We start from the raw sequence: 23,220 nt of genomic DNA, 5'->3' as shown, positions 1-23,220 counted from the left end.
AGCTACTTGGGAGGCTGGGGTGGGAAGATGACTGGAACCTGGGAGGTAGAGGCTGCAGTGAGCAGAGATCGTGCCACTGCACTCAAGCCTAGGTGACAGAATGAGACCCAGTCTCAAAACAAAAATAATAAAAATTTTTTACAACGATGTTATATACACTTCTGCATGTTGCTTTTCTCTTAACCAAACTTTTCTAAAACCCTGTCATGAAAAAAGAAATCCTTCACATGGAATAGCATAAGTTATTCATCCATTTCTTATTGATAAGCATTGATGTTTCCAGTTACCACTGCTGAACATGGTGCAATTGAATAGAATTCCAGGGCTGAGATTGCTAGGTTTTAGGTTGTATTTTATTATTTTATTTATTTATTTATTTATTTAGACAGAGTCTTACTCTGTCACCCATGGTGGAGTACAGTGCCATGACCTCAGTTGCAACCTTTGCCTCCTGAGTTCAAGCGATTCTCATGCCTCTGGTCTCCCGAGTAGCTGGGATTACAGGCACCTGCCACCAGGCCTGGCTAATTTTTGTATTTTTAGGAGAGATGGGGTTTCACCATGTTGGCCAGACTGGTCTCAAACTCCTGGCCTCAAGTGATCTGGCCACCTCGGCCTCCCGAAGTGCTGGGATTACAGGTGTGAGCCATGGCGCCAGACCTGGACTTTGTCTTCTGTTTCATCAGTCCTTCTGTTGGTTCAAGCACAGTATCACACTGAAGACTGATGATTCTATATAAATATGGTAAAGACTGTACACCCTAACTGTTCTTATTTTTTAATTTTAAGGCAATTTTAGATTCCAGCTTTCCAAAGAATTGTGGAATGCTTAGAGCTAGAGAAGCCTTGGAAGTCATTTAGTTTTTGTTTTGTCAGAGAAAATTCTGTAGAGACTCTGTCCTGCTCTCACTGAATACCATCCCATAGTACCCCCCAACAGCTTTAAAGGGCAATAATACCTTATGGACAGTATGCTTTTCCTCAAATATATTCTAAGCCATGGTCAATGCAAAAGAGTGAGAAGGAAAGTAGAATAAGTTATCTAAGAATCAGTGGGTGCTCTCTTTAAACTGATTTATCACTCCCCCTTCCAAACTCTCTTGAAGGTCACTCTGCCTCCCTTTCTACATAAGAACTCCTAACTCCAAGGGAGGAAGGTAAGTTATTCTTATTCCTTGCTTAGAAAAAGAGAAAATAGGTTTGGTAAGCATCCGCTTTCTGCTACCATTCTCTGTGTTTCTGTGTTTTTTATAGGATCATTCAATTATTGGTTGGCTCTTGAGAGGGAATGCAAGGTTCAAGGACACAAGCCTAGATCTTGCCTGTATAGAACCTCATGATGTTATGCTTCTCTAAAATGAGGCCTGGAGGAGACATGTTGAAAGTGACCCATAAATCTGCAGTATCTCATGTCTCTCAATGGGGACAAGGAGTACCATGGGAAATAGCATTAGGTCAATGACAGTAACAACTCCCAGGTGAGTTGATTTATTCTTTTATTTATAAAGTTGTTAATATGCTACATAGTCCCTAATTTTGCCACAAATAGTCATTATTTTAATTTCATATTTCACTATTGATAAATGAAGGAAAAAATGAGTAGCAGTTAAGCAGTCCATAAACCTACATATAAAGCAAATTGGAGATTTTAAAATTGATTCTGGATGCTTAAAATCCTTCTCATTGAAAAAAAATTTCGTATTAGAAGATTTCAACATTCTTTAAACTGAGAAGCATAACATATAAACAGAAAACCACAGCAAAACAAAAATGCAAAGCTCAATAAATGAACACAAAGTGAACACCATAATAATTGCCACACAAGTAAAAAAACAGAAAATCAGCCAACCCTCCCAGAGCCGCCTGATGCTTGCTTCCAGTCACATTATCACTCCATCTGCCCTAAACATAACCCCTATTTTGATTTCCAATGCTGTAATTTAGTATGCCTGTTTTTGAAACATATAAAATGGAAATAAAACAAATGTAATCCTATGTACCTGACATATTTCACTCCAGAACATTAGGTTTGAATAGATTCATCTGTGTTGCTGTGTATAACTTTAATTCATTTTTATTGTTATGTAATATTCCATGTTATGAGTGCAACAATTTAGGTGTCTACTGTTGATGCATATTTGCTTCCCTTTTTCAGCTAATATAAACAATACCGTGAATATTCCTGTGTATGTGTCTTGGTATATATAGGAATACATATTTTGTTTGTATACCTAGGAGAGGAATTGTTGGGTCAAATGCTAAACTCTTTTTGAAAGTGGTGATATTAGGTTTACATGCGATGAAATGAAAATTAAAACCACAGTTATAAACAGCATGGATGAACCTCACAAACCTAATGTTGATGGAATCTAGCTGGGAATTCCTGTTCTTCCATATACTTCCCAATATTTTTTTCCAATTAAAATTGTTAATCTTTTGAAGATGTTATCCATTGTGGCAGATGTGCAGTATTATCTCATTATGGTTTTATTTTACATCTTTTGCCCATTTTTTCTTAATTGGATTGTATATCAGTCGACTTGGGCTGCCATAACAAAAATACTAGACTAGGTAGCTTGAACAAAAGGAGTTTATTACCTCACAGTTCTAAAGGCCAGGCCAGAAATCCTAAATTGAGGTGCCAAGAGATTCAGTTTCTAGTGAGGGCTCTCTTATTGACCTGAAGATAGTTGCTGTCTTAGATTGTTTGGTGCTGAACAGAATACCAGAGACCAAATAATTTATAAAGAATACAGATTTATTTCTTACAATTCTGGTGGCTATAAAGCCTATGGTCGAGGGGCCCACCTCTGGCAAGGGCCTTCTTACTGTTATGGCAGATGTGAGATGTCATCTCATATTCAAACCACAGCAGTCGCCTTTTGTGTCCTCATGTGGCCTCTTCATATGCCCATAAAATGACCTCATGTCTCTTCCTTTTCTTATAAGGACACCAGATCTATCAGACTACTGGCCTACTCTTATGACCTCATTTAACCTTAAATATCTCCATAAAGTCCCAAAATCCCTATCTCCAAATATAGGCACATTGGGTGTTAGAGTTTCAACATCAATTTTGGGGGAACACAATTTAGGCCAAAAAGATTGTGTTTTTTCTTGTTGGTTTAAGATAGCTGTCTTTTTGTCCTTTTTGTCCTTTCTTTTTTTTTGAGGTGGACTCTTGCTGTGTCACCCGGGTTGGAGTGCAGTGGCGCTGTCTCAGCTCACTGCAACCTCCACCTCCTGGGTTCAAGAAATTCTCCTCCTCCCAAGTAGCTGGGACTACAGGTGCATACCACCGCGCCCTGCTAATTTTTGTATTTTTGATAGAGACGGGGTTTCACCATGTTGGCCAGGCTGGTCTCAAACTCCTGACCTCAGGTGATCCACCTGCCTCGGCCTCCCAAAATGCTGAGATTACAGGTGTGAGCCACCAAACCTGGCCTGTCTTTTCTGTTTTAAGTTTTTAAATTTTGCTCACGAACCCTTTATCCATTTTATGTGTTGCAGGTATTTCCTCTGTAACTTGTCTTCACTCTGTCAGAGGCTGGAGTGCAGTGGCACAATCACAGCTCACTGCAGCCTCCACCTCCCAGGATCAAGCGATCCTCCCATCTTATCCTCCTTAGTAGGTGGGACTACATGTGCAGGCCACCATGCCCAGCTAATCTTTGTATTTTTTTGTAGAGATGGTGCTGTTGCCCAAGTTGGTCTCAAACTCCTGAGCTCAAGCAATCCATCAACCTTGGCCTCCCAAAGTGTTGGGACTAGAGGTGTGAGCCACCACTGCACCCAGCCAATGATATCTCATGATGCATTAAAGTCATTAATTTAGTGTACTCAAATTAAGCACACTGCCCTTTTATGCACAACCTTTTTTGTATCTTATTTAAAAAATCATTTTCTATTTCAAGGTCATGAAGATCTTATTTTATAATACCTTCTTGTGAAATTAGTTCTCAAGACTACCCTCACTTCTAACACCAATTATAAGTTGGGAGGTCTGTGGTTCCCAATCAACCTTAGGTTAGTAATTTGCTAAAAGGACTCACAGAACTTGCTGAAGCTGTTAGCCTCATGGTTACAATTTATTATAGGATATATAGCTTATTATGTCATTCCAATGCAATGTAAAATTATACAACTACTTTTAAAAAGATTTTAGCATTTGACCCAACAATTTCACTCTGAGGTATACAAACAGCAGATATGTGTGCACATATATACCAAGACACATACACAGCAAAATTCATTGTTTGTAATAGTTGAAAAGGGGAAACAACTCAAGGAATAAAGATTAAAATCAGCTGAGAAAAGAAACACACAAGGCAGTATTATGGATCGAATTGTATGCAGATCTCCCTTGCCCCCAGAAGATATGTTTAAAGTCCCAACTCCCAGTACCTCAGAATTGTGGCCTTATTTGGAAATAGGATAGTTGCAGATATAATTAGTTAAGATGAGGTTATAGTACAGTATGATGGGCTGGTGACTTAGAAGAAGTAGTATATATATATTTTTTAATAGAACTAGTATTCTTCTAAGGTGGTCACGTGAAGACAGACACACACAGGCAGAGACTGAGGTTATGCAGCTGCAGGTCAAGGAATGTCAAAGGTTGCCAGCAAGTACGAGAAGCTAGGAAGAGTCAAGGAAGGATTTTCCTACAGGCTTCAGTGGAAGCATAGATCTAATGATACCTTCATGTCAGATTTCTAGCTTCCAGAACTACAAGAGAATATATTTGTTGTTTTAAGCCACCCTAGCTTCTAGCTCTTTGTTACAGCAGCCCTAGGAAACTAATATAGGCACAATCCAGGCAAGTTCCAAATATGAGCTTCCAGTTGTCCTCTCCCAGTAATATGAACAGTATTACTTTCCCAGCATTAATGTGTGACAATACACATGACGTACAGAGCAGTCCCCACTTATGCACAAAACATATGTTCCAGGACCTCCAGTGGATGTCTGAAACCATGGATAGTACTGAACTCTATATAGCTGTTTTTTCCTATACAGACACAGCTATGATAAGGCTTAATTTATAAATTAGGCACAGTAAGAGATTAATAACAATAAATTAGAATAATTGTTAAGAATATACTGTATAAAAGTTAGGTGAATGTTTATTTCTGAAATTTACCGTTTATTATTTTTGGACTGCAGTAGACCACAGGAACTAAAACCATGTAGAAACCGTATACAAGAGAACTGTATTTCACCCGAGCCTCAGTGTGCAGTTTTAATGGCCTGCCATGGTTGACTGCTCACATGGCCGATCTTTTAGTCTACCTCCACAGGTAGAGCTGATACTGTGTGGCTCAAAGTTCCTATTATAAATCACATTGTTGACTGTGTGGTGGTCAAAACCTCCAGGTAAACAAAGACACACTTATCAGTGAGAACATTTCAAGGGTCTAAAATTCATCTCCCAGTAGCTGAGGGCAAAGGCTAGACCTCTTTTTGGGTAAGATAAATTTTTTACCATATACTTTATTTTGCTTTTCATGTTTAACTTTATTTTGCTTTTCATGTTAGTTCCCCTGGAATTGTTTTTTGTGTATAGTGTGAAGTAGGGGGTCAAGTTTCTTTTTTTTTCCTTTTTGTTCTTTTTCTGTTTAAAAGGCTATACAATTGTCCCATGCCATTTATTTACAAGAGTCCTTTCACCATTGTTGTATGGTGCCACTTTAGATGTAAATCAATGTCCATATTTGTTTGAGCCTGTTCCATTCGTTTGTCTATTTTTGGACAACACTGCCCTGATTATTGTCATTTTATCAGTTTTGATATTTAATAAAGCAACAGATTTGTTTATTTTGGGCCCTTGGATTTGTGTATTAAATTTGAACCCTGTTTGTCAATTTCTATAATAAAGCTTATTGGGAATCTGATTAGGATTACAATGGTTTTGTAGATCAGTTTGGGGACAATTAATACCTTTAAAATATTGACCGCTTCAACTGTAAATATACTCCTCCATTATTTAGTTTTCCTGTTTAATTTATCTGAGTAATACATTATAGTTTTCTTCGTAGAAGTCAGATACGTAGAAAATTCAAAGCCCAAGTGCAATAGCTCATGTCTGTAATACCAGCACTTTGGGAGGCCGATGTGGGTGGATCACCTGAGGTCAGGAGTTTGAGACCAGACTGGCCAACATGGTGAAACCTCATCTCTAGTAAAAATACAAAAATTAGCTGGGTGTGGTGGCGGGCACCTGTAATCCCAGCTAATCAGGAGACTGAGGCAGGAGAATCGCTTGAACCCAGGAGGCAGAGGTTGCAGTGAGCCAAGTTCCTGTCACTGCACCCCACCCTGGGCGACAGAGCGAGACTTCGTCTCAAAAAAACAAAAAAAAGAACATTCAAATAATCAATGTAGATAATTCAAATAACTAAAAAATGAACAGTTATTAAAATATCAGGATATAAAAGCAAAAAAATCAATAACCTCCATATATACAAAATGGCCAGTTAGAGAAAAAAAAAAGAATAGGCGAGACTTAAAAAGGCTGGGAATCTCCCTGAAAATCTTTGAGAGCCTTGGCCCTGCCCTCAGGGATTTCTCTGGCTTCATGCCCAGATACGGGTACAGTTCCTTGTTTAAAAAAATTTTGCTCCATCAATCAACAAGGGGCTCCTTCCTCAGAGCACAAGGACCTCCATAACACCGGACACTAGATGTCTAAGGGACACCTCTTAAGGAAGTTAGACTTCCAAAGAATGGTGTTTCCTCTGTCCCCAAACTCTGGAACTCACAGCACAACTGCTCCTTGGAGTTCGGTTTCAAATCTACAAGGCTGTCATGGAGGTTGCAGACCAAGTCCGTGGCCTCAGTGTCCGGATGTACGGTGGCCTTGGCACCTGAATGTGAGAACATGACCTCCCTGAAACCACCACAAGTATTGTTTCATGTTATGTATGTTTTTTCTTATCTGAAATTCCTTTTCTTTAAAAATTCAAATTACATATTTTGCAAGCCCCTGAACAAGCTTCATGAGCATTTATTGAACCCACAGCTTTTAAAACCTACTGAACACTTTGCTCTATGTTGTCATTCACTATCCACCAATTATTTAATTATTGATCAATATTGTTTCCTTAGTGTTGGGATCATTTATGCATGTATTTCTTTTATATTGCATATTTTATATTTCTGCATTACAGTTATTACATATTACTTTTGCTACAGTAATAGTTCAAAAGTGTACATCCAAAATTTAGCTGTGAAGTGGATGGACTGAGGCAGAACTGGAGGCAAGAAAATGTCACAGTAATTCTAAAAAAGATGATGTACAATTAGAGCAAGAGAGTAGCACTGAAATTGAAGAAAAATAGATGCGTTTGAGAGAAAATTAGGAGGTAGAATCAACAGATTAGATGTAGGGATGAGAAGGGTCAAAGATGACACTAGGGTTTTTAACTGGAGCAAGTAGGTAGACAGAACATTTCTTCCTGAAAGGGCAGGTCAGATCATGTGTTGTCTCAAAGGGCATGAAGAGTAGAAAGCCTGGGACAGATCCTGAGATGACCAATACCCATGGTGCAGGGAGAGGGAGGGAGATCTGCTAAAAAGACTGCAAATGTCAGGATAGTAGAAAATCATGAGTGTGTGATGTCCTGGAAGTTGAGACAGTATCACATTTGAGAACATTTAAATTGGTAACTCTGACAAAAAGCTGGAGGCCAACTGTGAATGCCCATGAGAGTGAGAAGCTCCCACACTTTTGTGGGCATCAGAAAGCCCACCAGGTTCCTGCAGTGAAGATCTGAGAAGGATCCTCTTGTGGCTTTGGCAGGGAGAGAAGAATTATTATGAAATACACCCCAGAACCTTCTTCAAAACAAAGGCCTACTCTCAAGGGGAAAACATTTTGCCAGAGTCTTATCCCAGCTGGGAGAAGGTAATTCTTCCCACTGCAGCCTCATCTAGGCTTTCTGTCTCACTTAAGGGAAGAAAATTAGTCAACAGGGATCAGAGCTTCATGAAAATAAATTGGAAATGGTGCAGCCAGGAAAGGAGCAAAGGTCTGAGGAGGAGGAGAAGGAGGAAGAGGAGTTGTATCATTATAAATACTTGAGGAAGAGGAGGAGAAGGAGGAGGAGGAGGAGTTGTATCATTATAAACACTTGAGGAAGAGGAGGAGGAGAAGGAGGAGGAGGAGTTGTATCATTATAAACACTTGAGGAAGAGGAGGAGGAGAAGGAGGAGGAGGAGGAGTTGTATCATTATAAACACTTGTGACGGTCCCAGCCCCAAGATATAGGCATGCTAATAAACTGAGGCTTAACACTTTGACTACAGAATGCTGCTTCTCCCTAACACCATCAAGGCTCCAACTGAATAACAATGAATTATGAATGAAAGAGCTGTAAGGAGAGACAAAAGTTAGAATGAGACAAGTATTGTTATCTAGAGATGCCAAGAAGGCAAGGAAGATAACTAAAAAGGCACTCTGGATTTAGAAATAGGAAGTCATTAGTGACCTTGTAAATAATGGAGCCAGAGGAATACCAAGGGCAGAAGCCTCACTATAGTGTGTTGCACCTGTCAGAGGTCAGGAGGTGTAACTGACTCTCCCACAGTGTGGCTTTGGAAGAGAGAAGTCAGCAGCTGCATGGAGATTTGGGAGAGGGAAAGCTTTTTTTTTTTTTTTTTAATTGGAAAAGACTGAGCTATGTGTAAATAGAATAAGACAGGAAGAGTGTAGACACAGGAAAGAGGGCAGACAAAAACAAGTGCACAGTTATCTAAGGGAAACAATGGGATCAAGCTGCAAGTATATAAACTTGTCTTGATAGAAGAATCCTTGATCTGGTTTATTCAGTGTTTGGTCCAAACCCACATCCCTGTTCTGCCTGTCTCTGACTTGCTCTGTGCCCCAGAAGCCCAGCTTCTACAGATAGCATTAGCTGGGCAGCCCTGCCCTCTTGCAACAGCTGGATTTGGCCAGTGATCAGCCCAGCAGGAATGTAGATGGCAAAGGAGAGAGAGGTTAGTGTACTTATTCCCTGCATCACCCCCCTGCTTGGTGGGCAGCTCTTCCTCCACAGTCCCAGCTCTGGCCTAGCTCTGGTTACAGGTTCCCTCCCATTGCCTCTTCAGATTTAAAGGTGTGTCTGTCAGGGTATAACTGGGAGCTAGAAATTGCACTGAAATTGAACAAAGAATTTTATGGGAATGGTTGTTAACTAGTTATAAGAGGACTGAAAATGGAAAAGTGGACAAACGTATCAGAGATAGTAATGACAGAAAGCAACTACCACCTCCAGGTTTAGGAGAACAAGGAAAAGATTCTTTGAAGAGATCCCCAGAACTGGGACCTCTGAGGAGTGTATGCTGGACCACTGATGATGATATGTCTGTAGATAGAGGCATGATGAGGCTGATTTTAGGAGCATGGAAGATCTCCAAACTGAAGCCAACTGCTGTTACTGGATTCAACTGCCACTGCCAGGTTGAAGAACCCATTCTGTGAGGATGTCAACAAACAAAGTGGGAAATCTTTTCACATCCTTCCAGCCCTCTAGTCTTCCTCCAGTGCTTTCTATTGGTAGGGTTTGGGGAGGTGGCTAGCAAAGCGGTATTGGAAAAGATAGAAGAGACTAAATCTTCATAACCAGCACAGGGTGACACTGGATCACTACTGTTGCTGATCTTGGGCTGCCTCATATCCCCTGTTCTTCCCATTAGCCCTGTCACAACTTTGTAGATATCCCTTCATTATATGCCCTTCATATATTCTTTTGGTTTAACTTTTTCTGTTGGAATCCTAATATGGCACTCCTCCATTTTTCAGGACCAAAAGAGTATAAAAGATTATCTTTTACCAAAAAAAAGACAAAAAACTGATCTAATTCCTGATTTGATCATTACACAATCTATACATGTATCAAAATATCACATAGTACCCCATAAATATATACAACTGTGTCCATTAAAAATAAAAATTAAAGAAAAGATGGTAAATATAGCTCTGTCAGGCAGTGGAGGTTTTACCACGATGGCTGTTATTTCCCCCATGAAGGGGGGAGTGAGGGAGCAGCTGAAAGTAGGTGCTTATAGGGGTATAGAGGGGCTCAAAGCTTTGAGAGAGGAGAATGTCTGAAAGAGCTGCCAAATAGCATGCAGGTCCCATGGGGGCAGAGCCTCTGCTCATTCACCAGTGCCTCTTCAATATCTACACTTAAGCCTAACACAAAGTGTGTGCTTAATAAGTATTTGCTGAGTATGTAAAGTGGAAACAGAACCAATCTGGCAAACTTTGTAGGACTGGTGGGCAATGAAGATCAGTCAGGTAAAATCTGTGGATATAAATTTATATTGATCAAAAAATTCAAGGTTAGGTGTTTTTCTTCAGTCATGCTCAACGATGCTTCAGCCATGCTCAACTCTTCTGTAGCCACAGAAAAAAGTTTACCCATAATCGAGCTGTGTCTGTGTCTGAATAATGAAAAGACCATGATGCAAGGGAGTTGGAGACACAGAAACAGTGTTTGAAGTAATGGGTAATGGAAGCATGCTACCAGGGAAAGGAAAGAAGTGGCAATAGGAAGGAACAGAGATCTGTGGTCCTATGTCCCCTGAGCATATTCACATGTTAAAGCTAATTCAGTTTTCAATCATCATTAAAATTTTGTTCCTAAATATATGGCCATTATTTTCCACAACCACACTAAAACTTTATTACCTCTGGCAAGTGACTATGCAAGTAACTAAGAGCAAAAATATCCACAACTACCATTTGAGCTATCAATTTAGGGAAAGTCATCTGGCTATAATCTAAGTGACCCTCCACTGAATGTCAGTATCTTTGCATATGTGATTTAAATCTGGGCCTTCGCAACACCATGAACTGTTCTTGTCTTGAATATCCAGATTGAAGGAAATAATCTGAGTAGTTACGAGTCCTGAAGCTAGAAAGATGGAAACCCCATTTGCTCATCAGAAAGCCTTAGAGCTTGGGCGCTGGCGGGTCCTGTCTCACCGGGACAGAGGGGCTCTTTCCTCCCCATCTGATAGTCTGATAACTAGAGAAGCCGGCCAACTTATTCTCCAAGAAGGAGCCATCTTAGTTCCTCCTGAAATGTTCATATTTAGAAATTATTGTTTGTCAGTAATTTAACCCCTTAATGGGCTTGCCTTGTGGTCCATACCACTGAGTGCAGAGCTTGCCTGGAAGAATTGTGAGGGCCATTCCATCTTCCAGGCAGTAGAGTTCAGTACTTCTTTAAAATTGCTGCTGAACTCTGTATTTGAAAAGAAAGAATCATTTGGGTGTGGTAGCTCACACCTGTAATCCTAGCGCTTTGGGAGGCTGAGGTGGGAGGATCATTTGATGCCAGGAGGACCACTTGAGACCACCCTGGGTAACATAGCAAGACCCTGTCTTTAGAAAAAAAAAATACAATAAAATAAATACAATAAAAATAAAAGCAAAAAGAAAGAGTCCATCTTAGGGACAGACTGTAACTACTCACTGGAGCTTACCTTTACATAGTTCAGGATCAATTATAATAAAACACTTTTGTGCAGATTCAATAGGATTATTTTAATCCCCATCATCTCTCTGAGTTTCCAGTCAGTTTCTCTGCATGTAGACACCCTTCTCCAGCCCACCATTGTCTCTCCTCCTATAGCTCCACCAACAAATCAGAACTTTTTCTAACTGCACCTAGTGCACCTAGAGTCTACTCCAGAATGCTCATGGAGAAAGTTTCTGAAAGGTAAAACTCTGAATGATATTTGTAGCTAAAGGGAGACTTGCTAGAGACAATAAGCTAATAGTTGTAGACTTCAGTAGAAGAGGAATGACACTGCAATGTCAGGGTGCAGGACTTCAAGAGGGCAGAGTATGGAAACCCAATGGGAAAAATGCTCACCAGGAACATGAAGAGAAGGAATTACGTGTAAGGATTTCTCAATGTGTTCCCAAATTTGCCCAGCAGAGGGAGGCCTCGGGTTGATGGCAGGCTGACCACACAATTAAAGAAGGCTGAACCTGGGGGCTTTTAACAACCATCGTGGGCTCTACTGTAAGCATTTAGAAAAAGAAAGTTATCCATTCAAAAATATATATATTTTTAAACTTCAGAACAAAATTATGAAGAGCTATATTTACTTTTCTACATTCTAATTTTTATAAATCTGAGTATATTTTGCATATATTGTTATAGTACATATTCAATTTTGTATTTTGCTGTTTTCACTTAACCATTTTTACTAGATTACTCTGTGTTCATAATAATCACTTTTTTAAAACTTTTATTTTTATTTATTTATTTTTTTTTTGAGTCAGAGTCACACTCTGTCGCCCAGGCTGGAGTGCAGTGGCGTGATCTTGGCTTACTGCAACTTCCACCTCCTGGATTCAAGCAGTTCTCCTGCCTTAGCCTCCTGAGCAGCTGGGATTACAGGTGTGCACCACCAAGCCCGGCTAATTTTTGTATTTTTAGTAAAGACGGGGTTTCACCATGTTGGTCAGGCTGGTCTCCAACTCCTGACCTCATGATCTGCCCACCTTGGCCTCCCAAAGTGCTGGGATAATCACTTTTTATGCTGCATAATTCTTCAGATTTGTCAGTACGACTGTATTTACACTCATTTGTTTTATTAGAAAGAATTCCAGAATATTTTGGCTGCCCTAATTAATTTTACAATTAATATGATTTTGAAATTGGGTATTGGCTCCTTCTGAATTGGTTTATTAAAATATATTCTAATGTAATTTATGACATTTTCATCATATTAGCATATTTATTCTGTTAGAATTTCATAATTTATAAAGCTACAAACTGTATGTGATATAGCTTGTAACTTTATCTCATAACTTTATGCAGTTACAAGTAGAAATAAAATGTTCCCCTCAAGATTGCTTAAAATTTTATTATAAACAAGTGTAAAAAACAAAATCACTAAAACACTCCCTCTTTTTTCCCCCAAAATGCATGTTTCCATTTTAACAGAACCCGTATTTAATCAGCAGATTTCTATGGTGGCTAGATTTGTAGACTAAATATTAAAAGTCCCAAAGCAAATGCATTTTTCTCTTAAATTTTACTGACTTTTTTTTTTTTTCTTTTTCTGAGACGGAGTCTTGCTCTGTCGCCCAGGCTGGAATGCAGTGGCACAATCTCGGCTCACTGCAACCTCCGCCTCCCGGATTCACGCCATTCTCCTGCCTCAACCTCCCGAGTAGCTGGGACCACAGGCGCCCGCCACCACGCCCAGCTAATTTTTTGTATTTTTAGTAGAGACAGGGTTTCACCGTGTTAGCCGGGATGGTCTCGATCTCCTGACCTCATGATCTGCCCACCTCAGCCTCCCAAAGTGCTAGGATCACAGGCATGAGCCACCGCGCCCCGCCTACTGACTTTTATCCAAAGAAAATATAAGAGCTCTTCATCATAACGTATGTTTCTTGCTCTTGTTATTAAATATGACACATTTAGACTTAAACTGATTTGAAGGTTTATGACATTGTTTAAGTTATTACATAATTAATTCATAAAGATAATGACTAGTTTGAACTACTGACAGCTCACACATCATCAGTTGAACAGCAGAAAGCTTACTAAGCTACTTTCTTATGTTTCTGTCTCCCAGCTACTAAAAGAAACGAAACCCTTCCAGGTGTTAAGGCAAAACTTTCCTCCCCCTTTCTTCTATAAATCTGATTCCATGTTAGTGAAATTTCTACTGATGGCTTTGGTTTCCTCTATAGTAGAATAGAGATCCTATGGCAAAAGTCATGTCTGACATGGTAGCAAATAGAAATGGGGAAAAGGAAGGTCTGCAAGAGCCAATGTGGGAAATGGGGAGAGGACTGACTACAAAAACCCAGCAGGAATTCCAGAAGAAAACTCCTCAGGACGGGCACATTGGCTCATGCCTGTAATCCCAGTACTTTGGGAGGCCGAGGTGGGCAGATCACTTGAGTCCAGGAGTTTGAGACCAGCCTGGTCAACATGGCGAAACCTCATCTCTACAAAAAATAAAAAAATTTGTCAGGCGTGGTGGCATGCACCTGTAGTCCCAGCTACTCAAGAGACTTAAGTGGGAGAATCACTCGAGCCTTGGAGGTGGAGGTTGGTGAGCCGAGATCACGCCACTGCATTCCAGCCTGGGCGACAAAGTGAGACGCCATCTCAATCAATCAGTCTCCTCGAAAAGCAACATTATGGAGAGACAGGATTCCGTCAAGGCCTGGGGCACACAGGAAAATATTAAGGCAGAAGAGAGTTTCCTCCCCACACCACACCGTATCCCACAGGCACTGCGGATGTGCATATGCAAGAGGGGTTGATCCTAAGAATTTAGAGTCACAGAGGAGGAGGCACCAAGCAGACTGTGGAGAAAGTCATGACCAGAAAGGGACAGAATGTAAAGCTTCAGCTGATTATCTGGCCTCAGGGATTCCAGAGGAACTGGTCCCAATGGTCTCCTGGTGATGTAGGTTCTTAGGTTTCTTTTACAGGGGTTTTCTGGGAGATCGTTGACCCAGTTAGCATTCAAGCAACTTCCACCCTGCACTTTTATTCTTTCCCCTTCACCTGCTTAGGTTTTATCTGTCCAGGAAATAATAATAAAATTATTGAGCCCTGGACATGTACCTGTAAAGCTCCTTAAAGATGATGCCTTCTAACTCCTCATTCAACAGATACAAAAACATTACAATAAAATGACTCATGCAAGACACCCAGGTAGTTTATAGCAGCTAATAAAAACAGAATAACTATAAAATATGGTAAGTTTATAAAAGTTACATTGAGTATACTTTATAAGAACTGCTTATTGAGTTTGCCTAATAACCACACAGCACAATAATAATATGTATATATTTTTAAATATGTGTAAATATGTGTAACACAAACTTGTAGAAGGTATATCTGAGTACAACCCTATTCTGTTTGGTTACCTTTTCTAGTTCATTATGTAAGTGGCATAGCTACCTAAGGACTTATGCTTATAAATGTTACTCAAAAAAATACAGAGGACATATGTGGATAGATAATGGAAGAGATAAGATAGGTAGGTTGAAGGGTTGGGCTGCCCCTCCACACCTGTGGTTGTTTCTCGTTAGGTGGAATGAGAGACTTGGAAAAGAAAGAGACACAGAGACAAAGTATAGAGAAAGAAAAAAAGGGGTCCAGGGGACCGGTGTTCAGCATACGGAGGATCCCACCGGCCTCTGAGTTCCCTTAGTATTTATTGATCATTATTGGGTGTTTCTCGGAGAGGGGGATGTGGCAGGGTCAAAGGATAATAGTGGAGAGAAGGTCAGCAGGTAAACACGTGAACAAAGGTCTCTGCATCATAAACAAGGTAAAGAATTAAGTGCTGTGCTTTAGATATGCATACACATAAACATCTCAATGACTTGAAGAGCAGTATTGCTGCCAGCATGTCCCACCTCCAGCCCTAAGGCAGTTTTCCCCTATCTCAGTAGATGGAATATACAATCGGGTTTTACACTGAGACATTCCATTGCCCAGGGACGAGCAGGAGACAGATGCCTTCCTCTTGTCTCAACTGCAAAGAGGCGTTCCTTCCTCTTTTACTAATCCTCCTCAGCACAGACCCTTTACGGGTGTCGGGCTGGGGGACGGTCAGGTCTTTCCCTTCCCACGAGGCCACATTTCAGACTATCACATGGGGAGAAACCTTGGACAATACCTGGCTTTCCTAGGCAGAGGTCCCTGTGGCCTTCCTCAGTGTTTTGTGTCCCTGAGTACTTGAGATTAGGGAGTGGAGATGACTCTTAACGAGCATGCTGCCTTCAAGCATTTCTTTAACAAAGCACATCTTGCACAGCCCTTAATCCATTTAACCCTGAGTTGACACAGCATATGTCTCAGGGAGCACAGGGTTGGGGCTAGGGTTAGATTAACAGCATCTCAAGGCAGAAGAATTTTTCTTAGTACAGAACAAAATGGAGTCTCCTATGTCTACTTCTTTCTACACAGACACAGTAACAATGTGATCTCTCTCTCTTTTCCCCACAGGAGGTGATGGCCGGAAGAACATGGCAGAGGGCAAAACAAAACAGCATTGGGAACAAGCTCTGTTTAAAAGGAGACTTGTGAACAGCAAAGAGTAGAAAGGGTTCTCTTACAACTGAAGCCCATGGAAGACAAATGTGTACTGCGTGAGTTTTAAGGCAATAGGAGTAGTGGGACCTAGGGCACACCAGAGAGCATATTAACTCTCAAACTTTTAAAAACATTATATCTGCTGGACACAGTGGCTCACACCTTAATCCTACAACTTTGGGAGGCCGAGGCGGGCGGGTGTAGCTTGAGCCCAGGAGTTCGAGACCAACCTGGGCAACATGGCAAAATCCCGTCCCTACAAAACAAACAAACAAAAAACAAAATTAGCCAGGCACGGTGATGCGTACCTGTGGTCCCAGCTACTCAGAGGCTGAGGTGGGAGGATCGCTTGAGCCCCGGGAGGTTAAGGCTGCAGTGAGCCATGATAATGCCACTGCATCTCAGCCTGGGCAACAGAGGGAGAACCTGTCTCAAAACAAAAACAAAAACACACCATACCCAACCACAATGCATCTGTCTTAAGTACCAGTACCACACCCCTCTACTCACTACTAAATAGGTGAGTTCCCAATCCCTGGTAGCAGGTTTAAGCATGTTATATTAAAGGTCTTAGGCTAGTGACTCATTCACTCATTAAACAAATACTTATTGTGCATCTACTATAAACTAAGTACTGTGCTAGGTACAAAAGCAAATAATCTAAGCTCTATAAACTTTACTTTCTTCATCAACAAAATGGAGATGTTTTAGGCATCTACTCATCATTCTGAGCTCCATCTTTTGTGACTGTAGTTGGCAGAGCTTTTTATCAGTTTCTCTAAATAGCTCTACCAGTCCCTGGTGGATGCTGGCATGCCCAAAGGATCCATCCTGATGGCCCTGTCTGCTTACCTTACCTGCCTGCCTTTGCAGCACCGCTCTGCTCTTCTGCAGGACTTCCCTTATCCTTTGGGGTCTTGCTGCTCTTAGGCTGCTCTGCTTGTTTTGATCTGCTTTGCATCACATGTATGTAAAGGTCCTTTCCTTATTTACCCATGACCAAGGTATTATGAGATTCTGGAATTTCCCCAAACCACATTGATTGCTGGGAGAATAGAAGAAGTGGATTACAAGTGGAACTTAGAAGGGGAGTATTCGAGAAGACGTCTCTGCAAATCCATTTAGAGAGACCTTTCTCCAGTGGTGACTCAAAGATGCAGCTCCTTTCATCCTGTGGCTTGGCCATCTTCAGCACATGGCTCCCAAGGATGTCCTCAGGATGGTCTCTAATCCAAGGAGCCTGAAGAGAAAAAAAGGCATGGAGTATTGTGAGTGGTAGGTGGTTATGGACCAGTTATGGAAGAATACACATCACTTTTGCCCACCTTCTACTAACCAGAACTCACACAGCCATAGACACTGACAAGTAGGACTTAACAAGAATCTAATTTTGAGTCTAGGAATACGACTGTAGCAAATATTTAACAGCTTCAAACACAGGTGCATTGCTATCACTATGCTTGGCCCAGGCCTGTCTCCCTTTCCTGCCATGTCACAGGGGCCAGCATTTATGTCTAGATTGGGTTGGTTGGGATATTAAGACAATAATGAACCAATACAACATCTTGAGCATAAAACCAACTGATACAATGATGTACAAGTCAGATGATTCTGATGATTATGAATTATGTCAATAAAAGAAATGTGATAACTAAGGTAATTTTTGTTTTGGCAAATTTTTGTTTGTTCATGACAGGATGAAATCCTGTCATTTGTAGCAACATGGATGGAATTGCAGGATACTACATTAAGTGAAATAAGCCAGAAACAGAAAGTTAAACACCACATGTTCTCACTTATATGCAGAAGCTAGCTAACTAAGTAAATAAGTTTATCTCATTGAAGTAAAAAGTACAACAGAGATTACTAGAGGCTGGGAATGGTAGGGGAAAGAGATGATAAAGAGAGATTCGTTAAAATAAGTTACAGCTAGATAAGAGCAATCAGTTCTAGTGTTCTATTTGTACTACAGAATGGCAATAGTTAACAGTAATAAATAATTTCAAAGAGCTAGAAAAGAGGACATTGAATGTTTCCAACACAAAGAAATGAGAAATGCTTGAAATAATGGATATTCTAATTAATTACCCTGATCTGATCACTATACACAGTATGTATAAAAATAACACTATGGGCTGGGCGCAGTGGCTCACACCTGTAATCCCAGCACTTTGGGAGGCCAAGGTAAGCAGATCACTTGAGGTCAGGAGTTAGAGACCAGTCTGGCCAACATAGTGAAACTCCATCCCTACTAAAAATACAAAAATCAGCCAGGCGTGGTGGCATGTGCCTGTAATCCCAGCTACTCAGGAGGCTGAGGCAAGAGAATTGCTTGAACCCAGGAGGCGGAGGTTGCAGTGAGCCGAAATCGCGCCACTGCACTCCAGCCTGGGTAACAGAGCAAGGCTCTGTTTCAAAAATAAATAAATACATAAATAAATATTTTTTAAAAAAAGAACATCACTATGCACCCCATATATACATATAATTATTATGTCAATTTGAAACATAATTTTGAAAAATGAAAAAATGAAACACAAATATGAATCAATCCTCTCCAAGTTGATATACTTAAAAGGAAAAAAGTCCGAGGGCTTAAACTATTCAATCAAAATTTTATTAAAATGCTATAGTAATCTGGAAAGTATTTCAGAATGAATTGGTATAAGGTTAGACACAAAGATCAGTGAAACAAAACAGAGAACCCAGAAATAGATTCACACATCTATGGACAACTGGTTTTGACAAAGGTGTCAAGGCTATTTAATAAGTAAAAAAATCGTCTTTTCAGTAAATGTTTCTTGAACAAGTAGACATCCGGTGTGGGGGAGAGGAGCAGGAGCCTTACCTCAAACTTTATGCAAAAATTAACTCAAAATAGACCATAGACTTAAATGTAAAAGCTAAAATTATAAAACTTCTTTAAAAAATAGGAGAAAATCATCAACACCCTAGGATTAGCAAAGATTTCTTTAAAACAAAACAACAGGTTTATAGTTTATAAAACATAAATAACAAAATGATAAATTTCATCAAAAGTGAAAATTTGCTTTTCAAAAAACATTATAAAATGAAAAGCAGGAGGCTGAGGCATGAGAATCACTGGAACCCGGGAGCTACAGGTTGCAGTGAGCCAAGATGGTGCCACTGCACTCCAGCCTGGGTGACAAAGTGAGACTCTTCCTAAAAAATAAATAAATAAATAAATAAATAGAAAAGAAAAAGAAAAATCACAGGCTGAGAGAAAATATTTATAATACATGTATCTGACAAAGGACTCGCACCTGGAAAATATAAGGAACCTTATAACTTAGTAAGATGACAAGCCAAAACAAAGAGTAAAAGTTTTCAACAGACATTTCACAAAAGAAAACATACAAATGGCCAGTATGCACATGAAAAGATTTTAAACATCATTAGTTACTAGGGAAATGCAAGTCAAAACCACAATGAGATACTTCACATTCAACAGAATAGCTAATGTTAAAAGGACTGACAATCCCCAGGGTGAGCAAGGGTGTGGAGGAAACTACTCTCATATATTGTGAATGTAAGAGGACAATGTTACAACTACTTTGAAAAAAGTTTGGCTGTTTCTAACATAAAATTAAACACTTATACAGCCCAGCAATATTTCTGGGTCATTTCTCCCAGATAAATGAACACATGTCCATACTATGACATGTACAAATGTTCATACTGGCTTTGTTTCACAATGCTATAAACTGGAAACAACCCACGTGTCCATCAACAGGTGAATGGGTAAATAAATTGTAATATATCGGCCAGACGCAGTGGTTCATGCCTGTAATCCCAGAACTTTGGGAGGCCAAGATGTACGGATCACCTGAGATCAGGAGTTTGAGACCAGCCCATCCAACATGGTGAAACCCCATCTCTACTAAAAAATTAGCTGGGCATGGTCACGGGCGCCTGTAATCCCAGCTACTCGGAAGGCTGAGGCAAGAGAATCACTTGAACCGAAGAGGCGGAGGTTGCAGTGAGCCAAGACCATGCCATTGCACTTCAGCCTGGGCAACAAGATGGAAACTCCATCTCAAAAAAAAAAAAAATTGCAATATATCTATATCTTGGAATATTATAAAGCAATAAAAGGGAATAAACTACTGATATATACACAAAATGGATGAATCTCAAAAATGTGAAGGAAAATAAAAAATACATATGATATAAATTCCATTCATATGAAATTTTAGGAATGGGAAAACTAAGCTGTAATTATGGAAAGTACATCAGTGGCTGCCTGGGGCCAAGAGGATGGAAGAGGCGGCACAGGTGATACTACAAATGGAAACTATCTAGGTTGACGGAAGTGTTCTGTAACTTGATTACAGTAGTAACTGTTTGGGTATATAAAACGCATCAAATTGTATAATTAATACAGGTGTATTTTACTGTGTATAAATTATTCCTCAATAAAGTTGATTTTTCATTAAATATATTATTTGCTAAAATGAGGAGAGACAACTATTATCTTAAAATAGTTAAGCACAATAAAAATACTACAATCAACTCATTATATATGGAAATTAAAGGAGAAAAATAGTGGTATGATTAATTAAAATAAAAAGAAAACCTTCTAAATTTTATCTTAGCTCATAGTTGTAAAAGCTGCCATCCCTAACCAAGGCCACCCTTGACCCTTTCTCATGTTCCATCTTTCTGTTTGTTTCATAGTTTATGTCTCACCAAAATCTATCAGATAAACGTATTCATATGAAGATTTAAATATATTACATGTTAAGCCTTAGCGAATACTTCAATATCTAAAGAAGGTACAAACAAAACAAAAATCAACACTTAGTTATAAGAGATTACATACTCTCCAGGGAAGACCTGAAGACTAGCCCCTTTCTGGATCCCACTAGCCCCTCATCCCACTCCAAGCCCTCCCCTCCAATCCCATATGCACTGGGCATTCATACAAATAAGACCATCAGCTCTGGATATCTGTACTGATTGATGCTCCTGCTAACTACCTGAATGATTGCGATGTAAGGACAGCACTGCCTGAATCCTATTTATCTCTCGCTATGCCATAGCGGCCTTCCATGCTGATGGCGTGTTTGAGGATCCAGAGGGGTCTTTGGTTGGCAGGATTGTTTTATTTCCCCAAGAGGAGAGCCTTGATGCAAAAATAGGTGAAGAAATCAGTACAACAAAACAGAAAGCCTAGAAACTACTATGAACACAATAGAGCAGAAGTAGCCTTAAGAGTTGGTGGAGAAAGGATGGTCTATTCAATTACCTGGGCTGAGAAACTGGCTTTCATATGGAATAAAAATAAAATTATAGCTATACCCCATATCATACACAAAAGTTTCTACATCTAACAAAGACACAGATAGAAAATGTTTTAAAATTTTAGAAGAAAATAGTGCAGAATTTTAGTGCAGAATTTCTTAGACTAGATGCAAAAACAAAAATGATTAAAGTGGCCAGGCACGGTGGCTTATGCCTGTAATCTCAGCACTCTGGGAGGCCGAGGTAGGTGGATTAGTGGAGGTCATGATTTCGAGACCAGCCTGGACAACATAGTGAAACCCCATCTCTACTAAAATACAAAAATTGGTAGGGTGTGGTGGCTCACGCTTTTAATCCCAGCTACTTGGGAGTCTGAGGCAGGAGAATCACTTGAACCTGGGAGGCAGAGGTTGCAGTGAGGGGAGATGGCGCCACTGCACTCCAGCCTGAGCAACACAGCGAGACTCTGTCTCAAAAAAATCTAAAAATAAAAAGATTATTTTTAAAAGACTATTTTAAACAAAAAAAATCGTTTAAATGATATGACACACTACATCTAATATTTGGAAAAGTACTTCTTAATACTTTTAATAAAAAGAGGCGCTGAGAGCATACAACCTATCCTCAGAAGAGTGTTTGACCTCTAGGAGGGACGCAAGCGCGTTCTTCCTTCATTTTAACTGGTCATTTTCATTTATTTCAGGAACATCTGAAGTAAACACAGTCACACGTTAACCTTTAAAAATCTAGGAGGTGCGTACGCATAGTTCCATTACTTCAATTTTTGTACTTTTGCATTTTAAAATATCACAGGGAAGCTCGGTACAGCTTCAAGGCTAGGAGGGGTGGCTCTCTCTTAAGCCCTGTCCCCGCCAGCCCCAGACCTCTCGTCCCGCCCCCATTGCCCAGTCCCCACCCTCACTTCCCCATTTCCCCACTCCCGCGGTCTCTTAACGCACCTCGTTTTTCGTCCAGTGGACTCAGACCTGTAGTCTTCCACCAGGATCGGCTCCTTTCCCGGAGCTCTCGCTCTTAGAGGAAATTGAGAGAAGCATCAGCGGAGACCCATCTGTGGCTCTCCAGAGGGCGCGGCATTCAGACCCCAGATCCAGCTGTGAGAACGGACCCCAGGCTCACACCAGGCCTGCGGGAGGCGGCCCACCAGAGGCGCTAGAAAACAAGCCTCGCGGGGAGGCGCGCAGGGCGACTGCAAGCTGTAGGGGGCGCTGGCGCCCTCACAGGCCAGGGGCAGGGCCGGCGCTGCGGGCGGGGCTCCTGCGGCGTGAGGGGCGGCCCCAGGCCAGCAGCTGCGCCCTGGCTGGGAGCCGGGGAGCATTTGCTGCTCTGCTGGACCCTGAGTCTGGCGGCGGGCGGCCTCCTCTCCGCTCCCCGCCCGCCATCCCCCAACTCCCGATCTCTCTGCTGCGTCTGGCCTCAGGCTGAGACCCCAACGAATCATTCCCCGCATGGGAACATTTTATGATATAACTGAATTCAGTTTTATGTATAACTGAATTACGGATATGAGAATCTCAAATGAGGACGAATGGTTTTTACGCACAAAACATGAGACACAAATCTGTAAGAAATATAAAGTCGTGACCACGTCCTTTCAGAACTTTAACCTGTTTGCTGAAGTACGTCAGTAACAATGGCAGGGAAAGGGTATCTTAAATTTCACCACAGCCTCAAAGAGGCCATTTCGTGGATCCGCTGAGGCTTGGAGTCGGCCTTCTGACCACGAGTCCTGCGGCTATGAAAGAGGAAGCCGCGGTTCAGGGCGTCCTCGCGAGTCGTGCAGCCCGCCCTGCTCCAGCTGGGGACACCGGTGGTCACGGCGCTTTCCAGCTGCAGATCCAGG

At 40.8% G+C, this 23,220-nt stretch overlaps 1 long non-coding RNA gene across 5 annotated transcripts, besides 4 other annotated features; it reads right to left on the bottom strand.

Moving 5' to 3' along the window:
• Positions 1 to 13,461: 13,461 nt before the first annotated feature.
• LINC02980 (long intergenic non-protein coding RNA 2980) lies at positions 13,462 to 22,570 on the bottom strand. Of its 5 annotated transcripts, none has more exons than NR_186645.1 (3): positions 22,319 to 22,570; positions 16,947 to 17,334; positions 13,462 to 13,987 (listed from the first exon to the last, which is right to left on the bottom strand). It is a non-coding gene; the product is annotated as a long intergenic non-protein coding RNA 2980 (long non-coding RNA). The 5 variants fall into 5 exon arrangements; NR_186643.1 differs by having other exon boundaries at positions 13,462 to 16,350; positions 16,952 to 17,334; NR_186641.1 differs by having other exon boundaries at positions 13,462 to 14,208; positions 16,952 to 17,334.
• Positions 15,084 to 15,719: an enhancer, noted in NCBI's record as "OCT4-NANOG-H3K27ac hESC enhancer chr6:25999746-26000381 (GRCh37/hg19 assembly coordinates)". NCBI's record gives its function as "activates a minimal SCP1, AML or CMV promoter by ChIP-STARR-seq in naive H9 embryonic stem cells {active_cell/tissue: H9 hESC(naive)}" and the evidence as "EXISTENCE:reporter gene assay evidence [ECO:0000049][PMID:30033119]".
• Positions 15,720 to 16,354: an enhancer, noted in NCBI's record as "OCT4-NANOG-H3K27ac-H3K4me1 hESC enhancer chr6:25999111-25999745 (GRCh37/hg19 assembly coordinates)". NCBI's record gives its function as "activates a minimal SCP1, AML or CMV promoter by ChIP-STARR-seq in naive H9 embryonic stem cells {active_cell/tissue: H9 hESC(naive)}" and the evidence as "EXISTENCE:reporter gene assay evidence [ECO:0000049][PMID:30033119]".
• Positions 22,252 to 22,461: an enhancer, noted in NCBI's record as "active region_24171". NCBI's record gives its function as "activates an Ori minimal core promoter by ATAC-STARR-seq in GM12878 lymphoblastoid cells {active_cell/tissue: GM12878}" and the evidence as "EXISTENCE:reporter gene assay evidence [ECO:0000049][PMID:35858748]".
• Positions 22,452 to 22,761: a silencer, noted in NCBI's record as "silent region_16997". NCBI's record gives its function as "represses an Ori minimal core promoter by ATAC-STARR-seq in GM12878 lymphoblastoid cells {active_cell/tissue: GM12878}" and the evidence as "EXISTENCE:reporter gene assay evidence [ECO:0000049][PMID:35858748]".

This window comes from Homo sapiens, chromosome 6 (assembly GCF_000001405.40).
Source record: "Homo sapiens chromosome 6, GRCh38.p14 Primary Assembly".
NCBI lineage: Eukaryota > Metazoa > Chordata > Mammalia > Primates > Hominidae > Homo > Homo sapiens.
The sequence above is the reverse complement of the archived record's forward strand: the minus strand, read 5'-3'. Positions and strand labels throughout refer to the sequence as shown.